At 40.7% G+C, this 24,484-nt stretch overlaps 1 long non-coding RNA gene and 1 pseudogene across 5 annotated transcripts in view, besides 1 other annotated feature; one reads left to right on the forward strand and one right to left on the reverse strand.

Moving 5' to 3' along the window:
- LOC105377374 (uncharacterized) overlaps nt 1-24,484 on the reverse strand; it is a 46,775-nt gene that overhangs the window by 8,195 nt on the left and 14,096 nt on the right. For 2 of the 5 annotated variants that reach the window (NR_199847.1, NR_199843.1), the window contains one exon: nt 6,535-6,827. This is a non-coding gene — a long non-coding RNA (uncharacterized LOC105377374). Of the gene's footprint in view, nt 1-6,534; nt 6,828-8,947; nt 11,260-21,004; nt 23,675-24,484 lie in introns of those variants that run through there. The other 3 variants (NR_199844.1, NR_199845.1, NR_199846.1) reach the window with 3 other exon arrangements.
- Nucleotides 8,606-8,900: an enhancer, noted in NCBI's record as "tiled region #2369; HepG2 Activating DNase matched - State 5:Enh". NCBI's record gives its function as "activates a minimal TATA promoter and a strong SV40 promoter by Sharpr-MPRA in HepG2 cells {active_cell/tissue: HepG2}" and the evidence as "EXISTENCE:reporter gene assay evidence [ECO:0000049][PMID:27701403]".
- Nucleotides 24,153-24,449, forward strand: RN7SL184P (RNA, 7SL, cytoplasmic 184, pseudogene; annotated as a pseudogene).

The raw sequence follows: 24,484 nt of genomic DNA on the forward strand, positions 1-24,484 counted from the left end.
AAACCCCACCAGCGGTGAGTGTAGCCTCAGGCAGTGTGCCCTCCGCAGCTGCCTCCTGCTCCACTGCAGTTCTCACACCTGCTCCCTGAAATGTTTCTTCCCCAACCCGTGAGAAGCTCTTCCAAGAAACACCCCAAGTATGGTCTCCCCACAGGTTTTCTTGTCTCTACAAGGTCGTCTAAGGTGCTCTTTCTTGCGTCTCTCTACTTCAGCGACAATCTCACTGTAGTATATTCACTTTGTTGTTTTCCCAACCAGAATTCAGCTCTTTTATGTCAGATCCTTTCTCTGTTTTCATCTTTGTACTCTAAGGTATAGCATAGTACTTGGAATATAGTAGATAATAATTATTTACTGAAAGGGTACATGAAGGTGTGAATGCAGACTTTCCAAACCTTTGCTATGAGGACTTTTAACAAGTCTGCGTTTTACATAGATTATTTCTTTTTCTTGCCAATGACCTTAATGGTTTTGGATAACTTCAAATAATTCTCTGACTGGGTTCATTTAACTGTTTGCAATGACAATTCTTTTGTTATCTTTTAAGTCATTTTTCCCAGGTACTGTTGGATGCTGAAAACTGTATTAACCATCTTTAGGTACAGACAGGTAATTTTGAGAGCCAGAATTAGATCTTAATTGCAGAGGCGTAGGATTGTCAAAACCAATACTGTGTGGTTGAGTCCTGATATCTACTGGAGGCATTAACAACTCGTGTGAAAGTAGAGAAGTAGCTATTTATTGATTTTTCTTTTTGAGACGGGGTCTCGCTCTGTTGCCCAGGCTGGAGTGCAGTGGCATAATCACTGCAGCCTCGACATCCTGGGCTTAAGTGATCCTTCTACCTCACTCAGCCTCCTGAGTAGCTGAAACTACAGGCATGCACCACCGTTCTTGGCTTTTTTTTTTTTTTTTTTTTTTGTAGAGATGGAGTTTCAGTTGGCCTTGAACTCCTGGGCTCAAGCAATCTGTGAACTACCATCCCCGGCCTACTTATCAATTTTTGAAGAAATAATTAAAGTTAGAGTCACATAACTTTTACGCAGAAACACCTTGTATACACCAGGGAGTCACTGGATTGAAAACATTCTTGCTGATGCTAAAACTGCTTCTTTTCGCAGGTGCTCGGGATTCAGGCTAATATTATGCCTGAGGGTTAATCATTGACCCCTCTAGAGTCAGCTCTGCTGGCTTTTGTCTGGTTGCAAACCAGTCTTTGGATCTGCCTCCAACCTTTGGTGCTTTTTTTGTAAAATGTCTTACTAAAATGGATGCCCTTCTATTCACCAGGATATATGGCATCAATGCTCAAAATACTTTAACCCTCATAATTTTCTACATTTAGAAATGTCTCCTTGACCTATGTTTTTAATAGCATCTCATCCCACCTCCTCTTAATCCTTTTATCTCTCTAAAACATAAATTTCTTCCTCTTTGCCTAAAAAATATGCTTAAACTTTTTCTAGCCTAAACTGAAATAACCTTCAGTAGAATTCGGTATTTCCCTGAAGTACATTCCATTTCTCTCTCCATTCATGCCAGGATTTTCAACTAACATTCCTGGACAGTGGGGAGAGCCTGGAGAAATGAGAAACTGCGTGAGCAAAACCAGGGAGGAGGGAGCACGTAAGGCACATTCAGGGAAGTCTTGCTGCTGGAGGAAGTTAGTTTTGGCGAATGATCTAGTTTTGGGTAAATCTGAAAGATTTTTTTTAAAACTTAAATTACGGAAATTCTTGAATGCCAAGCTGTGGAGTTTGGATGTTATGTGTTTGACCATGTACAACCACAGCAGAAATGTGCTCAGCAAAGCCCTGGGTGGAATGGATTTAAGGGGTTCAGATGGGAGGCACAGAAGCTTCAGTGTGGTCTAAGAAGAAGGCCCTGACCAACCCTGAAAAGAAAGTTAAAAGCCTGGTGCTGTTATTAAGATGAAACTTCTTGAAAATAAGATTATTGGAAAACAGAATGCTTTTTACCAAGGACAGGGTTTATTAATATAAGCTGTAACTGGTATTCAGAAATGTGTTTATACCTGGGCTTTACACACAGTTGAAATTTTTAAATGAGTGTTACTATATGTGAGGTGAATGTTATTTTGCAAAGGAGAAACGTTTTCAAAAAATGAAGTGGGCCGGGCACGGTGGTTCATGCCTGTCATCCCAGCACTTTGGGAGGCTGAGGTGGCAGGATCACGAGGTCAGGAGATCGAGACCATCCTGGGCAACATGGTGAAACCCCGTCTCTACTAAAAATACAAAAATTAGCTGGGCGTGGTGGCACGGCCTGTAGTCCCAGCTAACGGGGAGGCTGAGGTAGGAGAATCGCTTGAACCCAGGAGGCAGAAGTTGCAGTGGGCTGAGACTGTGCCACTATACTCCAGCCTGGCAACAGAGCAAGACTCCGTCTAAAAAAAAAAAAAAAAAATGAAGTGAGAGGGATTCGGAGGCATGGTGTCGCCTTCACTGCCATGTGAGTGTGTGTGTGTTTGTGTGTGTGTATAGAAGAGAGAGAGATTTGACCAGCACCCCTCACCCATCCTCTTCTCCTTCTCCCTCTGGCTCTCTGGACCCCTTGGGCTGGCTGCTGGCTCACCAACACTCTGTGTTGGGGCAGCCTCTCCTCGCCGTGTCTTCATATCCAGTCCTTCGCAGGCCAGCTCAGGACCAGTCACCCCGAGCTGCTTTTTCCACCTGACTCTTCTGCGTTCTTAACCTGTAAGTATCTGGAAGCTCAGGCCATACCAAAGTAGACCTGCCTCTTTTCTTTGCTCTGCCACCACAGGCCACTCGGGACTCCTCTGGCCTGAGTCAGGCTATCTCAATTTCCCAAATCCCAGCGGACACACGCCTATCTTTGCATGCGGCCTCCTCAAAGCTCCGCAGGCTTAGCTGGGGGCATGAAGGAGAAATTCACAGGACATCAGCAATCTCTGCAAAGTACTCCACACCACCAGGCCCAGCTCTACCCTTACCTTCCCCTTTTTACTAGATTCTTCCAATGTGACTGATGAGTTAGGGTTGTCAAACTGGTTTCACAGACTCTTAGCCTGTCCTGCAAGGGGAAATGGTTAAGCACCTAGAATTCTTAACCTTCAGGGCTCCACAAAAACTTCAGGCTCTCAGTCAACAGGAAAAGTATCATTTAGCATCTGATACACACCTCCACCACCACATACACATAACGCACATACACACACACACACCTACACATATATACACATACACACATCCTACACATACATACACACACCTACACATATATACACATACACCTACACATATGTACACATATACACACACCTACACATATATACACATACACCTACACATATGTACACGTATACACACACCGACACATATATACACATACACACACATTTACATATATATATACACACACACATCTACACATACACATATACACACATACATGCACACATCTACACCTATACATACACACACACCTACACATACACACACCCCCATGCATACACACACACATACACATACGCACAAACACATACACATATACATGTACATATACACGCACACCTATGCATACACACACCTACACATTATACACACATATGTCCCTACCTATACACATGTATACACACACATATCCCACACATACACGTACACATACACACAAATACACATATACATATACATGCCTGCATATACACACAAACACACACATATACATACACACACTGATGTATACACCTACAATGTACATATAAACACACGCATACACCTACACACACACACACACAAACACGAAAGAAAGGCTAGATGAACAGTAGTCATCTTTGAGCACAACAATTAGTTCTTAGACTTTATCTTTGTGTATTTCTGTATTTTCCAAGTTTTCTCCCTTGAAATTATATTACTTGTACAAGTAACAAAATAGTAAATATTTCAAAATATAAGAAAATATAAGCAAAATAAATTTATATAATACATCTGATATGGTTTGGCTGTGTCCCCACCCAAATCTCATCTTGGATTGTACTCCCATAATTCCCATGTGTCGTGGGAGAGACCCAGTGGGAGATAATTTGAATCATGGGGGCAGTTTCCCCCATACTGTTATCATGGTAGTGAATAAGTCTCACGAGATCTGATGGTTTTATCAGGGGTTTCTGCGTTTACATCTCTCTCATTTTCTCTTGCTGCCACCATGTAAGAAGTGCCTTTCACCTCCTGCCATGATTCTGAGGCCTCCCCAGCCATGTGGAACTGTAAGTCCAGTTAAACCTCTTTTTCTTCCCAGTCTCGCGTATGTCTTTATCAGCAGCGTGAAAACAGACTAATACAGTAAATTGGTACCAGTAGAGCGGGACATTGCTGAAAAGATACCCAAAAATGTGGAAGTGACTTTGGAACTGGGTATCAGGCAGAGGTTGGAACATTTGGAGGCTGGAGGGCTAAGAAGAAGATAGGAAAATGTGGGAAAATTTGGGACCTCCTAGAGACTTCTTGAACGGCTTTGACAAAAATGCTGATAGTGGTATCAACAATAAGGTCCAGGCTGAGGTGGTCTCAGATGGACATGAGGAACTTGATGGGAACTGGAGCAAAGGTGACTCTTGTTATGTTTTAGCAAAGATATTGGTGGCATTTTGCCCCTGCCCTAGAGATTTGTGGAACTTTGAACTTGAGAGAGATGATTTAGGGTATGTGGCAGAAGCAATTTCTAAGCAGCAAAGCATTCAAGAGGTGACTTGGGTGCTGCTAAAAGCATTCTGTTTTAAAGGAGAAACAGAGCATGAAAGTTCAGAAAATTTGCAGCCTGATGATGCCTTAGAAAAGAAAAACCAATTTTTTTGAGGAGAAATTGAAGCTGGCTGCAGAAATTTGCATAAGTAACAAGGAGCCAATTGTTAATCCCCAAGATGATGGAGAAAATGTCTCCAGGGCATGTCATAGATCTTCAGAGCAGCCTCTCCCATCACAGACCATGAAGCCTAGGAGGAAAAAATGCCTTTGTGGACCAGGTCCAGGGTCGTCATGCTGTATGCAGCCTAGGGACTTGGTGCTTTGCGTCCCAGCTGCTCTAGGCATTGCTAAAAGGGGCCAAGGTACAGCTCGGCCAATGGTTTCAGAGGGTGCAAGCCCCAAACCTTGGCAGTTTCCATGTGGTGTTGAGCCTGCGGGTGCACAGAAGTCAAGAATTGAGGTTTGGGAACCTACACCTAGATTTCAGAAGATGTATGGAAACGCCTGGATATCCAGGCAAAAGTTCACTGCAGGGGAGGCGCCCTCATGGAGAACCTCTGCTAGGGCAGTGTGGAAGGGAAATGTGGGGTCAGAGTCCCCACACGGGCTCCCTACTGGTGCACTGCCTAGTGAGCTGTGAGAAGAGGGCCACCATCTTCCAGACCCCAGAATGGTAGATCTACTGACAGCTTGCACCGTGCACCTGGAAAAGCCACAGATACTCAAGGCCAGCCTGTGAAAGCAGCCAGGAGTGGGGCTATACCCTGCAAAGCCACAGGGGCAGAACTGCCCAAGACTATGAAAACCTACCTCTTGCATCAGTGTGACCTGGATGTGAGACATGGAGTCAAAGGAGATCATTTTGGAGCTTTAGAACTTGACTGCCCCGCTGGATTTTGAATTTGCGTGGGTCCTGGAACCCGTTTGTTTTGGCCATTTTCTCCCATTTGGGATGGCTGTATTTACCCAATACCTGTACCCCCATTGTATCTAGGAAGTAACTAGATTGCTTTTGATTTTACAGATTCATAGGTAGAAGGGACTTGCCTTGTCTAAGATGAGACTTTGGACTGTGAACTTTTGGGTTAATGCTGAAATGAGTTAAGACCTTGGGGAACTTTGGGGGATTGGTTTTGAAATGTGAGGATATGAGATTTGGAGGGGCCAGGGGCAGAATGATATGGTTTGGCTCTGTGTCCCCACCCAAATCTCATCTTGAATTGTACTCCCATAATTCCCATGTGTTATGGGAAGGACCCAGTGGGAGATAATTTGAATCAAGGGGGCAGTTTATCTACCACTGTTCTCATGGTAGTGACTAAGTCGCACGAGATCTGATGGGTTTATCACGGGTTTCTACATTTGCATCTCTCTCATTTTCTCTTGGCACTGCTATGTTAGAAGTGCCTTTCACCTCCTGCCATGATTCCTAGGCCTCCTCAGCCATGTAGAACTATAAGTCCAATTAAACCTCTTTTTCTTCCCAGTCTCAGATATGGCTTTATCAGCAGCATGAAAACAGACTAATACAATATCTTGTGCTTTAGTCTAGTAAAACTTCTTAGAGAGAGACAACTTTCTCCCTAAATGACCCATTAGATCCATTTCTGTTTGTGAAACTTTATAGTTTTGTTCTTTATCTTGCAAAAATACTTACTAATTTGTACATTAAAATCAGTGAAATATGTATATATTTTAAATTAGCATATATTAAAAGGAGACCTTACAAATGTACTGATTTACATTTGGTTGAAGTTCAATTTGGGGCATTATATTGCATTAGAAATTGTTTTGGTTCTTAAATACTTACTTAGAAAATCTGATTGGCCGGGCATGGTGGCTCACGCCTGTAATCCCCACTCTTTGGGAGGCAGAAGGGGGCTGATCATCTGAGGTCAGGAGTTTGAGACCAGCCTCGCCAACATGGTGAAACCCTGTCTCTACTACAAATACAAAACTTAGCTGGGCGTAGTGGTGGGCGCCTGTAATCCCAGCTACTTGGGAGGCTGAGGCAGGAGATCCCTTGTACCCGAGAGGTGGAGGTTTCAGTGAGCCGAGATCATGCCACTGCACTCCAGCCTGGGCAACAGAGCAAGATTCCATCTGAAAAAAAAAAATCTGATTAATGCATAAATGTTTTTCTTTTCTTCCAGATAACTACAAAATAACCCCTGAATCATAGACATATCAACAAAATATGTGAATCACACATCAACAAAATCTCTTTCCTATTACAAGACTAGGGGTTCTCAATATTATCACAATTTTGATTTGATGTACCACAGTCTTCCACCTTGTCACTGCTTATGAAATTCACCCACTGGTGACCCTGAATTTGATCAACAACAAAAACTGAACAAATATATTAAAATGTATGTTGGAACTTTCACTTTCAAAAAACATTTTGAAAACAATTTTTATAAACCAAATCTGAACCTGAGTATATGTATAAGGATGTTAACATTCTTTCTTTTTTATATTTTTGTCTATTCCTGTGACAGATTACCAATGTGAATAGTCTTTCTTAATTATCTATTCTGGTTACCATGGGGTTTGAGAGTGATAATGGATCACATAACCTGTTCTATGAGTTCTGAACCAAATGGGAAAAAAGATTTAGGAGTAAGTATCAGCTTCATTTTAGTAAATAAAAATTGGATTAGGCATTGATTTGAAACAAAAATTGGGATCCCTACTCCTTCCCCACTTCTTTGTAGTGACTTTCCCACCCATGCCAAGAGCTCCTCTCTTTGGCAGTTTGAGGAATAAAAATATAAATACCATTCTTACTACCAAACACATTTGAAATCTTTCTTCCTGTTGCTAAAAATGAAGGTCTCTAGACAAAATGAGGCATTTGGTGTATCGCCTCTCTCAGTGCCCATGGTGGTTATTTCAATAGTGCTTTACTAAGGATTTATTTCCTTCTTTTAGATTAAATGAGTGGAATTAATGACCATCAAAATGAACAGAGTGCATGGTGAAGATTTTTAAAATAAGAATTCAGTTTCAGGAGGACAGCACAACAATGTTTGTTAGTCTTCCTGTTTGGCTTAGGAATGAATAAACAGATCATATGCCATCATCCCCTTCCCTATCGAAGGAAGATCTTGTAACTGAGCTATCCCAGAAACAACCTGAGTCCTGCAACAAATGGAAACTGATGAATAGAGGTCTTATTTGTTTCTGGCCCAGATTCCTCAATAATGGTCCAAGATTTTATGCAGAGAACAAAGATTTGTTGTTGATCCAGGGTTTTGTATTAGGAGCCAATGCGAATGAAAATCTAAGAGCTGAGTAGAGTTCAGTGGTCTCTCGTTGTTGGGGAAGAAGGATAGGAGAGAAGATGAGGAAGAAGGCATCTCTATTCTACCTCTCTGACATAGCTCATGTTCTCCTCCAGCCCCAGCTCCTGCAGTAAAGGAGGTCAGCTCAGCTCAGCTCAGATGAGGTCTGCCCATCTCCCAGAATATGGGCAACTCCAGATGTGTATGTGGAGGTAAAGTTCATTTCAAAGGAAAAATAATTCTATCTATGCCTCAGAAAATTCCTAATGCCCAGCGCATAGTGAGTGCTCAATAAATGCTGTTCTACTAAACTGAAATAGTTCCACTAACCTAAAATGAAATAGTTTAAATTAGAGTGAGCAGTAAATCCCAAATTAGTCCAAAAGATCAAAACTTATTTGAAAGCAGGTACAAATCTGAAAAGTATCCACCACCATCACTTTGTCCAGTAGGATCCAATGGCCATAGTGACCCAGAGCTTGATTACTAGATGTGAGCTCCACCTCACTCTGTGGGAAGCCCAGCTGTAAGCATCGGAGGTCTGTTAACCCCTGGAGGAGAAAGGACATCATGTACATTCGCCAGCACATGGTGGGTGCCCAGACCATACAGTGGAGTTCCCTGAAACATGCCCCAGAGAACAGCAATCACCCATGGGAGCTGTTTCCTCAGTTAGGAGGAGAGAGAAGCCAACCCATCCATCCAGGTAAACATGAGGAAGATGGAATTTGGCCTTATTAAGTCTGTCAACATTCATGCAAAGTTGTGAAACACACAAAGGTCACTCTCGCCCAGTCTTTCAGGGTCCTGGTCTCTTCTCTGTTTATGTATTCCTCGCTTTTCAAATGTCCTCTCCTTCCTGACTCATGCTGTAATCAGTTCTCAGTAAATCTCTGATTGAAGCATTTAAGAACAAATTACTAAGAAAGCATGATATTTTATATATCCCAGATAGGTATGTCTTTTATTGGGGATGAACAAAGAAAAAAAGCCTTAATTCAAAGGAGTATATTTTCAAAAGTGAAATTTCAGGCAGGGTGTTAGGATAGGCTAAACTGTCATCCAAGATTCAAACACAATGGAATTTTATTTCTCGTGCACCTAACAGTCCAGTGTGGATATTTGGGTTATTGGACGGATTTCCTTTATGTGGTCATTCAGAGCCCCTCTGGTGAGGCCTCTGGTTATATGCAGCCAGAAGTGGAGGGGAAGGAGAGTGTGGAGGCCCAGCTGCTGTCTTGAGAGCTCAGATTCAGGAGAAGCACTCCATCTGGGCTGATCGTTCACCGAGAGAACTTAGTCACATGGTCTCCTCCTTTGCCAGTTGCTGTTGTTTTATTCTGGAAGTAAAGGAATATGGATTTTGGCAGACAACCAACAGTCTCAGCCCAAATCAACAGCCCACAGTGTGGAGATTTGTTGCTTGGGAGGGGTGCAGACAAAGAGGAAGATGATCTTCTTCCTAATGTGCCTTCAACTGTGTCCTGTAGCTCCTCATCACCTCCACCTAAGCTGAAGCCCAGTGCTGCTGATGCAATGAACTCCCAGGAGTTTTCAAATTTACTAACATCATTTTAACTCTCTGTGGCTCAGCCTAGGTTTGTAACAGTAGAAAAGTACAATGTGGACCTGCATATCACTGGCCAGTAGATCTTCAAGAGCCAGCTCCTTCAGGCTCCAAGCAGACCCTGAACTCAAGGGTAAATCACCAACGTCCTGAGATGGGAAGGTGCAGCTTGATCCCACTCACTAACTCGAAGCCTTTGCTTTGCTGGGGATCATCCAGGCTACTGACTTCTCCTTTTCCCTGGTTTCTTCTCTTTTCCCAGACAAGTTGCACTGCTGATCATCAGCAGACAAGTTGCACTGTTGATCAGCACCTGAACCAGGTGGTGCCGAGAAGGAGACAGAGATGATGAAATAAACATCAGCTTGGTAATTACTTCTTAAGCCTGATGAAAATAGAGTTGACCGGTTGCAGCTGAAATGTAGTTAAGACTGTGGATAATCATCCTTTATCTCCTCCTGGTCTCATAAGCACTGATGCTTGAGAGGTGTCTGGAAGATTATGCAGTGCTCTAAATTTATCACATATTCATGTTAAGAAGAGTTTAATGCATTTTTCTGTGTATAATGTGTAACCAGAAATAATTGCAACAGTGAAGATTTATTGAAAGATTATGTGTCAGGTATGATCTTAAATGCTTTATGTACATGGTTTCATTAAATTCTCTCTACAACCCTGGGTGGTAGATACTTTTATTATCCCTGTTTCATAGTCAGGAAAATTGGGACATGAAGGGGCTTCCTGACTCACCAAGTGTGCATACCTACTCGGCAGCGAGGCAGTGCTCAGAGGCAGAGACCAGAAGTTGAACCTTTGCACTCTTCATCCTCCCTACTCCGGTAGCAAACTCTAAATGCTCATTTCTAAAGAAAATAGGGTGCACATGTTTTTCTTTTGAGAAAGTGAATTAATCTGTGAAGTTCTTCTTGCCTCCATAGGATTAGAATAGAATGAAGTATCTAGCCAGGAGTCAAGAATTCCATGCTATGTTGCTGACTCAGCCATTAAAGCAATTTTCCCTGGACGGTCTTCACCAAATGACTGGGAAATAAAATGTCATGGAATTGAGACCACCCATATACCCCCAGCCCACTATAAGGGGAGAAGAAAGCTAGCAGCAAATGAAAATGGAAGCAGAGGGAAGAAGCCATACCATCACCCTTGTTCCTCCATCTGGAGGCAGAATAGATGCTGCTCGTGCCATCGCTGTTGAATTAGTTTATGAAGGACACCTCCTGTGAGGTTAAATAGCAACTGTGGGCTGCCATCACATGTTGTACTAAATCCTCTTCTGCCCTTTCTGTTCTATAACTCAACAAATGGTAAACACTCCTCTAGTGAGTGCCAAAGAAGGGAGCAATAACTACCGAGCAGGCATCTCAGGTCACCTGGGGACACACCAATAGCTGTGCCTAATGATCAGATCAGAAAGCCCAATTAAACTCCAGAGAGTTCCTTTGAGCAATCACTGACAGGGCATTGACTTCTGTATGGCCTCAGCAATGCAGAGCACCTGGAAAAGGGCTCATTAGCTACAGGAAGCCTCTTTCACCGTTCGACTGCAGCTCCAACTCAGAAACATGAAACTCTTGGCAGGTAGCTCTGTCAGCAGCTCAGGGGAATCTTTCCTTTGGTTTCAGTTCATAATATTTGGCAACGTCTGCAGTCACCTGTGAAGAAGCTAAAAATCCACGGTAAGAGGCAGCCAACTCACCCGTTCATAATCGTTACAGGTATGCGTACTATTTATTTATTGTTGTCCTGTTCTAAGCATTGCAAAGCACTTTTGAGAATGTGTCTCTCGCTCAAACAGATTTTTTTTTGTGGTGTTTTTCCTCTTCAGAGATTGCCCTTTTGTATGTTTGGTTTCGTAATGCCCCCAAAATAATGTATCGCACTTATTGTCACTATTTGTTTTGGCACATTTGATGTGCCCTGCAGAGACGTTTTATGATATATTTTCCTAGATATATAAATTAATTCCATTCATAGTGAGTGACTACAGAGATGGCTGCAAAGCAAACTTTCAATCACACAAGTGTCTCTTTCCTTTATTTAGTAAGTCTTTATTTATGACCCACGATGTGCCTGGCACTCTTTTAGGTCCTGAAAATAGAGCAACAAAGAAGAGGCAGAGATGCCTCACCTTACAGGAAGGAGAAATCTTCATAAAAAATGAATAATATATATAACAACGAAGAGGATAAAGGTCCTATTGAGATGAACAAATCAGGGAAGTACAATAGGAACTAGAGCAGATGGGTGGGCTTGTAGTTTTGAACAGAAGTGAGCAGGGAAGGCCTCACCAAAGTGACTCTTAGCAAAGACCTGAAGGGGGCCAGGGAGACAGGCTTGCAGCCACCTGGCCAATGGCGAGGAGAGTGGCTGAGCAAAGAGAGGCCTGAGTGTGGGGATTTGCATCCAGGTGGATTCCTTTTGATCCTGGTGTTGTAAAGGGATACAGCTGTATAGTGACTGGCCATTCTTCTGACTAAAACCTATACAATTAACTAACTGGTTTGGGAGAATAAAATATTGTGAAGAACTCATTTGGCCTTAAATGGCCATGTTTGTACAAACAGATCTGACTGTTTTATTGTAAAAATTTGAATTCTGAGAAGATAGAATATATTTTATCAAAGAGCTGATTTAACTATGTTTCTTTTTGGAGCAATTATTTTTATGATAAGTAAAAGAAAAGTTTACTCATACAGAGAAAAATTCAAGAAGGTATGAGGCACTGATCAAATAAATTCAGGTAAAAGTCTTCCTTCGATGGCAAACAAATCTGACTTGATTTTCTAGCTTTTATCAGTTAAATACATCTAATAATTTTAAAGCATTTCATGTTGTAAGCCTGAAATGATCCACATCTCTGACTCTGCTATTATTAATCGAGAATATACCTCAACACTTTTGTGTGTATGTGAAAGCAAAAATTCTGGTCATCCCTTTCATATCTCAATAACCCCACTGGGAAATCCTTCGGTGCTTATGCAATCATTATACTCCTCTCAAATATGAGAAGCTGTAGGTGAGGGAAAGGGTAAGAAAGCAAGGATGCTGTAACCCTTTAGCAGGTTTTGCTCAATGATGACACTGCCAAAAGCCCAGAGAGAGTAGCTGAGCATCCCCCAAGCCTATCCTATGCATTCAGAGAGGGGACCCCACTCTGCTCTGGGCCCATAGTGGGCACATCACACTCTCAGATTCTCTGAATATCAGTACAGTTTCTGCATCAGCAAGCGTTTAGAAAACTTTTCAAAGTGGACATAATGATTAATTTAGTCTTCAGAGGTCAAAGTCTGGTTCTATTATTTTGAGTAAGTGACAGCACAAGGAAAGCCAAAGGAATGAGCCCCAGGAGTTCTGGCAATGCCTGGAAGGTTCCAGATTGGGCTCTGCACTCGGATCAGGACTGACCATGGAGGTGCTGCCTCTGCAGAAGCATCTGGTTGTTTAAAGCCACAGAGGCGAGGACCCTTCAAGCATTTTAAACCTCTCATTTTAACATTGCCGGGTTCCACCTCAGAATTTGTCTTCTTTTCATTTTCCTAGCTTTTAAAAGCACATTTGGCATTTTTTCTTGGTTTAGGACAATAATACTGAAATCTTTTTCTTTTTTCTTTTCTTTTTTTTTTTTTTTTTTTGAGATGGAGTCTCACTCTGCTGCCCAGGCTGGAGTGCAGTTGTGCAATCTCAGCTCACTGCAACCTCCGCCTCCCGGGTTCAAGCAATTCTCCTGCCTCAGCCTCCTGAGTAGCTGGGATTACAGGTGCCCACCACCATGCCCAGCTAATTTTTGTATTTTTAGAAGAGACAGGGTTTCACCATGTTGGTCAGGCTGGTCTTGAACCCCTGACCTCATGATCCACCCACCTCAGCCTCCCAAAGTGCTGGGATTACAGGCGTGAGCCACTGCGCCCGGCCAACACTGAAATCTTTGTTTGTGGAGACTTTAGGAATCTGTCAGGATTTTCAGAGTCTTCATGCTCTCCACTGGTTTTACATTTTTTCTTTGTTTTCATGTGTTTGTTTGCTTTTAATTCGAACTGCATTGTGTGGCTTGTCAGCTAAATGGGTTATCTCTATCTAGTGTGTTGTTCTTAATGATTCTCTGTGGCATACTTTCCATTTCTCACTCCCTGATCACCAGAAGCTAATAGCAGTAGAACTCTAAACAAATGAGCCACGATTTCCAAGGGACCATTTCTGCCAGCATTTGATTATTTTTGTATTGTGTGAGGTTGTTGCCTAGGAAGTTTTTATTTTCTGTATCCACACTTTCTATGGTTTCTTGATTTCATAGATGGTAAAAAAGAAAGCAGTTTTGGGTTATATTTATAAAAATTATCTTTAAAATCTTCAGTTACATAGCACATAATTTCTTGTAAAATTCTTGTTGTGAATCACAGAAGAATCTTTTAATTCAACTAATCACAGGTGCTTTAATGTAAAGCTTATAGTAAAGAGATTTTTTATGAGCTAAGTACTGTGTCCTAGGGTCCATTTAAGTTCAGTGGGTGAACTAATTATAATGATATGATTTGAGCCTGCTGAAAATAATTATCCCAACCTGTTTATTCATTTAGAAAAGCTTCTAACAATGGCTAATGGCTTTTAACCTGTGGAAAGATATTTGGTTGGATCCTATGAAACAGCCATTTTTGCAGGTCTGAAATGATGAAATATCAGCAACTTCACAGGGTTAAAATAGTGTACTAAAAATGACAGGAGAACTTAAGAAGAAAAAATACAGTAACCTAGACTCATGCAAAAACCTGGAGAAGGGGAAGAGAAGGGATGTGTAAGAATAAAATAAGACAGTTCAGCAACCAGGAGCCAATCTCCATTCCGAGTGCTCTTTTGCCTTTGTTCAAAATTTAATAATGTCTTGCTTTTGTGGAACATTTTTATTTTATTTTATTTTATTTTATTTATTTGAGACAGGGTCTGACTCTGTTGTCAAGGCTGGAATGCAGTGGTGCAATTTTGGCTCACTGCAACCTCAATTTTCTAGGCTCAAGTGATCCTCCCACCTCAGCCTCCTGAGTAGCTGGGACTACAGATGTGCCACCACGCCCAGCTAATTTTTTATTTTTAGCAGAGACAGACTAAGGTTATATTGCCCATGCTGGTCTCAAACTCCTGGACTCAAGCAATCTGCCAGCCTCAGCCTCCCAAAGTGCTAAGATTACAGGCGTGAGCCACCACTCTGGATGAGCATTTGTAATGAGCTAGGCACTATGCTAACTGCTCCCTCTATATAGCCTATATATGCTGTCTAAAGAGACATTATTCATACATTCCATGAGGTATTTTAATCATTTTCCTGGATAAGTGAATTGAGGTTTCCAGAGTTGAAATAACTTTCCCAAGTCCAGGCAACATTCAAATCTAGTTTTGTCTGATTCTAAAATTTCTGCCCTGAATCATGATGCCACTTCATCTTGTAAACAGGAAGCAGGAGAAAGCCTTGGTGCTCCACTCTTAGTATTAATATCAAGAGAGAATCTGTACCAAAGAGCAAATTCAACACTGTTTCTCTTTTTTTGGCTTCTTCAGGGTTTTGCCTGCTTCTTTATATATCAGTGCTTTAAACCACCAGGTGTTAGAGTCATCAGATTTTAAATGAAATCATTCCATTTCCTGTTATACCTCAAAGCTTAGACTCTGTTTTATTTACAGTTAGACTCTCAGTTATAAAGGCTGTGCTTTCTTTTTCTACCAAGGATGCATCAAAGGTAGAAAATGGCTCAGCTGCAAGCACCATGGATGGGTAAGATGGAGCATGAAGATTCCAAGGGGATAGAATTTTCCTCCCCTTTTCTTCATGGGGTTGAGAAAATGTCTTATTGCCTGCTTCCAGTGTCCAGATGCGTTAGGCACATTTTAGGAGATGGCGAATGATAAACTGCCAAATCATCAGATAGCCTCTTCCAACTTTCACCTGATTCATATTTTATCAAATAAATAAAAATACAGATATAAGAAGAGAAACAGTGGGAAAACAAAGAGAGAAAATGTTTTTAATAATATTTGTAGGTTTTTGAGCAAATCTATATGTAGTTTCCAAATGTAACTTCAGTTGTGAAGGGTTAGATTCAGAATCTTGACGGATGTGAGAATGTTTTTAACGCCACAACACACACCACTCCTTCATGTTTCTGAGCCTGCTCTGTACCTTGGACATTTTATATTTGGGAGCTTAAGATGATTTTTAAAAAAATCTCTTTCCAACCAATTCTTCTAGAACAAATCTAGTGAAGCAGATGCAACGCAAGGTGGAGACACTGGGAACTGGCTGGGCTGCCGGGTGAATTCCAGTACAGACCCAACACCACCACAGAAACTAGGAATTTCCCTAGAAGCATTTAGGAGAACTAGCTCTACTTTTCCAGGAGCTTAGTTTATTGATTCATCGCCTACTTTAGGTCAGGCAGTTTGCCAAGAGCTGTGGATACACAGATGATTGTGACATAGTTCCTACTCCTCAAGGAGAAATTAGAATGAGATTCAGACAAGTGAACTGTCAATGATGCAATTCTAGATAAGGGCTGTCATGGGATAAGGGGAACGTGGGGTGCTATGCTTCCCCAAAGGGAGTCAGAGGAAGTGTCTGCTGGAGGCATCAAAATTAGGGCTCTGTCTATGCTGGAACCTTAGCCCTAGTGGGGGCTTGTATTTCTCAGTTTTCCTTGCCTGCTAGGTGAAAATTTATTTAGCTAGGGCACAGTGCTTCTGGCCCTAATGAGGTACTTCTCTTTGTGGGCAATATTTTTGTGATTGATAAAATAAATGCATCTTCCTCAACTGACAGCAGGAAAATGTGAAGAGAGGTGACAGGGTGATGGGCCACAGAGAGGGAGAAATGAGTACATCTCTGTACGTACAAATGCTTTTTCATCTATATGTTGTTATCCATACAAAAATAGCAATCCACAAGACCCGTTGTAATAAAGGAATTACAGGGCATCAAAGAAAAGAGGGAGTTTTCCAGGCTTGTTTAAACATTGATGCTCATCTCTACCATTCAGGAAGAAAATCCATCAGGCTTTTCTTCTGTTTCTCAGTGGCTAATGGACTATATGAAACTCAATTTCTGTACAGCAAGTTGGCCATAAGATGTACTTAGCAGACAATTAACATCAGCAGCCAACAACTAGAGTTGGTTAAATATCTACCGGCCTGGGGCAATCCTCATGAGTGATATAAGTAATCTTAAAAGAAATCAGTTCCCACCTTCTTGGTTTATGTTTCTTAAAATGGGATCCAAGGATCAGCTGTATCAGAACCAAAGAGGGTACTTGTTACAAATACAGGTTCTAAGATCCCTCTTCCAGATCTTGATTCAGAATCTCTTTAGGTAGTAAACCCATACAAGAATTTTTTTTTTCCATCTCACTCTGTTGTCCAGGCTGGAGTGCAGTGGCCCAATCTCAGCTCACTGCAACCTTCGCTTCCTGGGTTCAAGTGATTCTCCTGTATCAGCCTCCTGAGTAGCTGGGATTACAGGCATGCGCCAACATGCTCAGCTAATTTTTGTATTTTTAGTAGAGATGGGGTTTTGACATTTTGGCCAGGCTGGTCTTGAACCTCTGACCTCAGGTGATCCACCCACCTCGGCCTCTCAAAGTCCTAGGATTACAGGTGTGAGCCACTGTTCCCGGACCTATATACGGATTTTTAAAAATAAATTTCTCAATGATTTTTATGCATGCCACAGTTTGGGGAACACTACTATGGCAGTTTACAATCTTAGAATGCAATCTGGAACAGGCACACATATAAAGCAAGAATGTACAGAGGGAAATATGAAAAACACATTTAATCCATGGTAATAAACGTAGATTGAAAGAGAAGAAATAATACTCATGACACTGCAGTCCCAGAAACCATTAAAACACAATTAGATTTTTCTTGCTAAAAAGCACCAACCACAGAGATGCTAATTGCTCACTAGTCCTAGATCCAGGAGCTTTAGATTAATTTTCTAGTGGGCTTACCTGGTTCTTGTACTACGTATATATTGCTAGGGGTAAGTTGAGGGACTATTTCAGAAGCACCAGTGGCACCTTGGCATAAATACACATTTCAGACCAGGGCAAATTTTACTCTACAATAACAGCCAGGTTCTGGGATGAGGAGGCATCCTGTCTCAACCAGGAAGAATTGCACAGATTTTATCAGTAGTTTTACAGGGAATTTTCTCAATTGTCCAGACCCGGGTTAATGGACTTGCAGATTTAGAATCCCACCTCTCCTTGGCCACTATTCATCTCATCACTGATGCTGATGTTTCTCTTCTTCACAGACCCCTCTTCCCTGGGTTTAAGGACTATATATTCCTAGAAGTCCCTGCTAAACAAGTAACTGCAGGTTATAATCCACAGTGGCTAAAGCTAATCTGATGAATGAGATAATTGAAAGACAAAAAAACAGAAGGCTCAAAAGTCTGCATCAAGTTCTTAGATATTCACATTGCACAGAAAAAAAGAGAGAAATGATGGGGAAAGGGTAAAAAAAAGGAGAGGAGAGAGTTAATTATGCAAATATGAAAAGAAAGCAGATGGTGGGACTGGAAGCCTCAGGTGGCAGTGTCATTTTTAAAAGGTCAAACTTGGAAAGGCAGATATTGTAACCAGTGATTCAGAATCACATTGCCTCTTTTCCTTCTTGTTTATGGGTTGAAATGTGTCCCTCCAAACCAGAATAAAATCCTAACCCCCAGAAACTGTGAATGTGATCTTATTTGGAAATAAGGTCTTTGCCAGTGATCAAATTAAGATGAGGTCATTAGGGTGGGCGTTAATCTGACTGGTATCCTTATTAAAAGAGGGAAATTTGGGCACAGAAATAGACATGGATAAAGGAAAGACATGTAAAGACACAGGGAGAAGGCCATCTACAGCCAACGAGTGCCTGAGGCTGCTGGGAACTAGGAGAGATCTCACAGAGCTCAGGAGAAGCCAATCCTTCCAGCACCTTGATTTTTGCACTTCTAGCCACTCTAGAACTGGGAGACGATACACTTTTCTTGTTTAAGGCATCCAATTTCTGGCAGTTTGTTATGGCAGCCCAAGGAAAAAATACATTTCTTGAAAATTAGATTTAAGAATTAAAAAGAACAAATCAGAATGCTATCAAGATAGAAAACTTTGTATGACTGAATTTTCTAAGCAAGTTTTGTTTTTGTAAATGAATTGATAGAAAGTAAGAGTGGGCAAATAAATATGATAGACTGGGTTATAACTCAAAAAGTTGAAGTCAAAATTTCTGATAAACAATGAAAATAAAAAGTGGGTCTTGTTATTCTCAGGCAGCTTGGTGTGGGCCGATGGAGCTGAGGACTCTTACAAACTGGCACAACCTCCTCTTTTTCAATTGAGGAAACTGAGAACAATTAAATAACTTGGCCAAAAAATAGCTTTTAGCTTATAAAGCAATTACATCGGCTATATGAACAGAAGCTTGACTGACCAGAACTTTTCAATGTACTTTATTACACAACGTAATTGACTCAAGAGACAGGCAACTTTGTCTGCCAATATGTTTCCAAATCATCCTAGGAGGCAAGGGCATTATATTTCTTCTGTGAGACTTTCAGATACAGTGAATAGCTGCATGCCATGTTTACTCACCTGAAAGGGGCAGGGTGATGATTATTGCCACCCTCATTACATTTAGGTTTTTTCGTTTGTTTTTAATTTTTATTTTCATAGGTTATTGAGGAACAGATGGTGTTTGGTTACATGAGTAAGTTCTTTAGTGGTGATGTGTGAGATTTTGGTGCACCCATCACCTGAGTAGTATACTCTGCACACAGTTTGTAGTCTTTTACCCCTTAATTCCTTTCCACCCTTTCCCCATGAGTCCTCAAAGTCCATTGTGTCATTCTTAGGCCTTTGCATCCTCATAGCTTAGCTCCCACTTATAAGTGAGAACATACGATGTTTGGTTTTCCATTCCTGAGTTACTTCACTTAGAATAATAGTCTCCAATCTCACCCAGGTTGCTGCAAATGCCGTTAATTCATTTTTATGGCTGAGTAGTATTCCATTATATATATACCACAGTTTCTTTATCCACTCATTGATTGATGGGCATTTGGGTTAGTTCCCCATTTTTGCACTTGCAAATTGTGTGCTTTAAACATGTGTGTGCAAGTATCTCTTTCATATAACGACTTCTTTTCCTCTGAGTAGATACCTGGTAGTGGGATTGCTGGATCAAATGGTATTTCTACTCTTATTTCTTTAAGGAATCTTCACACTGTTTTCCATAGTGGCTGTACTAGTTTACATCCCCACCAGCAGTGTAGAAGTGTTCCCTGTTCACCACATCCATGCCAACATCTATTATTTTTTGATTTTTTGATTATGGCCATTCTTGGAGGAGTAAGGTGGTTTTGATTTGCATTTCCCTGGTCACTAGTGTTGTCGAGCATTTTTTCATATGTTTGTTGGCCATTTGTATATCTTCTTTTGAGAATTGTCTATTCATGTCCTTAGCCTACTTTTTGATAAGATTGTTTTTTCTTGCTAATTTTTTTGAGTCCGTTGTAGATTCTGGATATTACTCCTTTGTCAGATGTATACATTGTGAAGACTTTCTCCCACTCTGTGGGTTGTCTGCTTACTCTGCTGACTGTTCTTTTTGCCGTGCAAAAGCTTTTTAGTTTGATTAAATTCCAGCTATTTATCTTTGTTTTTATTGCATTTGCTTTTGGGTTCTTGGTCATGAAATCTTTGCCTAAGCCAATGTCTAGAAGGGTTTTTCCAATGTTATCTTCTAAAATTTTTATAGTTTCAAGTCTTAGATTTAAGTCTTTGATCCATCTTTAGTTGATTTTTGTATAAGGTGAGAGATGAGGATCCAGTTTCGTTCTCCTACATGTGGCTTGCCAATTATCCCAGCACCATATATTGAATACGGTGTCCTTTCCCCACTTTACGCTTGTATTTGCTTTGTGGAGATCAGTTGGCTGTAAGTATTTGGGTTTATTTCTGGGTTTTCTAATCTGTTCCATTGGTCTATGTGCCTATTTTTATACTAGTACCATACTGTTTTGGTGACTATGGCCTTATAGTATAGTTTGAAATCAGGTAATGTGATGCCTCCAGATTTATTCTTTTTGCTTAGTTTTGTTTTTGCTATGTGTGCTCTTTTTTGGTTCCATATAAATTTTAGGATTGTTTTTTCTAATTCTGCGAAGAATGATGGTGGTATTTTGGTGGGAATTGCATTGAATTTGTAGATTGCTTTTGGCAGTATGGTCATTTTCACAATATTAATTTTACCAATCCATGAGCATGGGCTGTGTTTTCATTTGTTGGTATTGTCTATGATTTCTTTCAGCACAGTTCTGTAGTTTTTCTTGTAGAGGTCTTTCACTTCCTTGGTTAGGTACATTCCTAAGTATTTTATTTTTTTTGCAGCTATTGTGTAAGGGGTTGAGTTCTTGATTTGTTTCTCAGCTTTGTTGCTGTTGGTGTGTAGAAGAGTTACTGATTTGTGTACATTAATTTTGTATCCCAAAATTTTGCTGAATTCTTTATCAGTTCTAGGAGTTTTCTGAAGGAGTATTTAGGGTTTTCTAGGTAAACAGTCATATCACTGGCAAACAGTCACAGTTTGACTTCCTTTTTACCAATTCGGATGCCCTTTATTTCTTTCTCTCGTCCTATTGCTCTGACTAGAACTTCCAATACTATATTGAAGAGAAGTGGTAAGAGTGGGCATCCTTGTCTTGTTCCAGTTCTCAAAGGGAATGCTTTCAACTTTTCCTCATTCAGTATTATGTTGGCTGTGGGTGTTTCATAGATGGCTTTTATTACATTGAGGTATGTCCCCTGTATGCTGATTTTGATGAGAATTTTAATCATAAAGGGATGCTGGATTTTGTCAAATGCTTTTTCTGCATTTATTGAGATGATCATGTGATTTTTGTTTTTAATTCTGTTTACATGGTGTATCACATTTATTGACTTGCATATGTTAAGCCATCCTTGCATCCCTGGTATGAAACCCACTTGATCATGGTGGATTATTTTTATGATATGTTGTTGGATTCAGTTAGCTAGTATTTTGTTAAGGATTTTTGCATCTTTTGCATCTATGTTCATAAAGGATATTGGTCTGTGGTTTTGTTGTTGTTGTTGTACCTAGGTGATGTTCTTTTTGCGTTGAATTTCCCAGATGTTCTTTGAGCTTCTTGTATTTGGATGTCTAGGTCTCTAGCAACGCGGGGGAAACTTTCCTCGATTATTCCCCCAAATATGTTTTCCAAACTTACAGATTTTTCTTCTTTCTCAGGAATGCTGATTATTCTGAGGTTTGGCCATGTAACATAATCCCAGACTTCTTGTAGGGTTTGCTCATATTTTCTTATTCTTTTTTCCATGTAATTGTTGGATTGGGTTAATTTGAAAACCTGGTCTTTGAGCTCCAAAGTTCTTCCTACTGTTTGTTCGATTCCATTGCTGAGACTTTCCAGGGCATTTTGCATTTCTATAAGCATGTCCATTGTTTCCTGAAGTTTTGATTGTTTTTTATTTATGCTATCTATTTCATTGAAAATTTCTCCCTCGTTTCTTGTATCATTTTTTTGACTTCCTTAAATTGGGCTTCGCCTTCTGCTGGTGCCTCCCTGATTAGCTTAATAACTAACCTCCTGAATTCTTTTCCAAGTATAGCAGGGATTTCTTCTTGGTTTGGATCCATTGCTCGTGAACTAGTGTGATTTTTTGGGAGTGTTAAAGAGACTTCTGTCATATTACCAGAGTTGGTTTTTTGGTTTATTCTCATTTGGGTAGGCTCTGTCAGAGGGAAGGTCTAGGGCTCAAGTCCTGTTGTTCAGATTCTTTTGTCCCATGGGATGTTCCCTTGATGTAGTACTCTCCCCCTTTTCCTAGGGATGTGACTTCCTGAGAGCCGAGCTATAGTGACTGTTATTTCTCTTCTGGATCCAGCCACCCAGCAGTTCAGCAGGCTCCAGGCTGGTACTGGGGTTTGTCTGTACAGAGTTCTGTGTTGTGAACTGTCTATGGGTCTCTAAACTGCGGATACCAGCACAATATTTAGGGTGTATTCTGGGTCCTGCAGGAGCAATCTGCTTCCTTCAGAGAGTCTATGGGTTCTCTTGGCTTTCCTGATTTGTTTCTGCAGTTGTTCTGGAGCAAAAGTTCACGATGTGAACCTCCACATGGTGCTCTGTCCATCCAAGCGGGAGCGCAATCTACTTCTGCCTCCCATCCGCCATGATCTCTCTCACATTTGCTTTATTGTATGGTTTGAAGGTGGCATTTAAGATAATCAAGTAATGTCTACTGAACCTGAAAAAAAATAAATGCCTGTCTGCCCTCTCTCTTTCTATTTCTTCCCTCCTCCTTCTTCTTTTTCTCCCCCTCTCCTTCCTTCCTCTCTCTCTCTCTCTCTTATCATTAGGTGATAAAGCAGGGTCTGTTTCAGACTCAATTAAAAATCATGAAAAAGATTTTTAAGATCTCAGGCTGGACAGCTGATAGAGCAAGGAAAAATAGGAAGGCTTCAATGCTGTAAGTAGAAGTGAACTGCATTTACTGAGGCCTCTGTTTAGAAAGGCTTTTTGAATGTAGTTGCAGGATATAAGAATCTTATAATTTGATGGGCAGTGGCTTCATATCTGAACTGTGTCAATATTTATAAACTGTACTGCCACACCATTGAGTGTTTTTTCTGATAAAGGCTTTTAACTGTCAAATATTACCTTGATTTGTCACTTGGCTTCAATTTTTAGTAGCTATGCTATGAAATGTGGATTTCAGGTATACCATCTCACTAATTATGGCATTCACTGATAACTTCATACATAAACATATAACTAGAACAGGGATCTGTATCTTTATCAGTGATAAAGATTATCTATTTCAGCCTGGGCAACAAAGTAAGACTGTATCTCTACAAAAAAAATTAATCAGCTAGGTGTGGTGGCATGTGCCTGGAGTTCCAGCTACTTGGGAGGCTGAGGTGGGAGGATTGCTTGAGCTCAGGAGGTCAAGACTGCAGTGAGCTATGTTTGTACCACTGCACTCCAGCCTGAAAGACAGAGTGAGAACCTGTCTCAAAAAAAGAAAAAAAGATTATCAATTGATATAAAAAACTCTCATAGCCCCTCTCTGACAATAACTTTTTAGAAAACCTTTTTACTTTGGAAAGAATTTTATATATGAAAACTACAATGTCTGGGGTGAAAATATACGGGATGGGATTAAAAACACATTAGACACTACAGAAAAAACAATAAGTGAACTTATTGAAACTATACAAAATAAAGCCCGGAGAAAAAACTGAAAAAGTATTGAGCAGTACATCAGTGTGTTGTGAGCGATTTAAACGGCCTAATAAACATGTAATTAGAATCCCTATACAAGGTATAAATAGGAGAAAGTTTAAAAATATTTGAAGAAATTATTGCCAAAAATTTTTCAAATTTGTTGAGAAATATAACCCACAAATTCAGTGACTCATGAACTCCAAGCACAAGAAACAGAGAAATACATGAACATGCATCATAATCAAGTTATTAAGAACCAAGCCAGGCCTGAGGGCATGTACCTGTAGTCCCAGGTACTCAGGAGTTTGAGGTGGGAAGATTGCTTGTTCCCAGGAGTTCTGGGCTGTAGTGCACTATGCCAATCAAGTGTCCACACTAACTTCAGTATCAGTATGGTGACCTCCCAGGAGCAGGGGACCACCAGGTTGCTAAGGAGGAGTGAACTGGCCCAGGTCAAAAATGGAGATGATCAAATCTGCTGTTCTCATCAGTAATGGAATCACCCCTGTGCATAGCCACTCACTCTAGCCTGAGCAACATAGCAGGACCCTGTCTCAAAAAAAGAAAAAACCAAAAACGAAAACCCAAAACA

The sequence above is a fragment of the Homo sapiens genome, chromosome 4 (genome assembly GCF_000001405.40).
Source record: "Homo sapiens chromosome 4, GRCh38.p14 Primary Assembly".
Taxonomy (NCBI): Eukaryota; Metazoa; Chordata; class Mammalia; order Primates; family Hominidae; genus Homo; species Homo sapiens.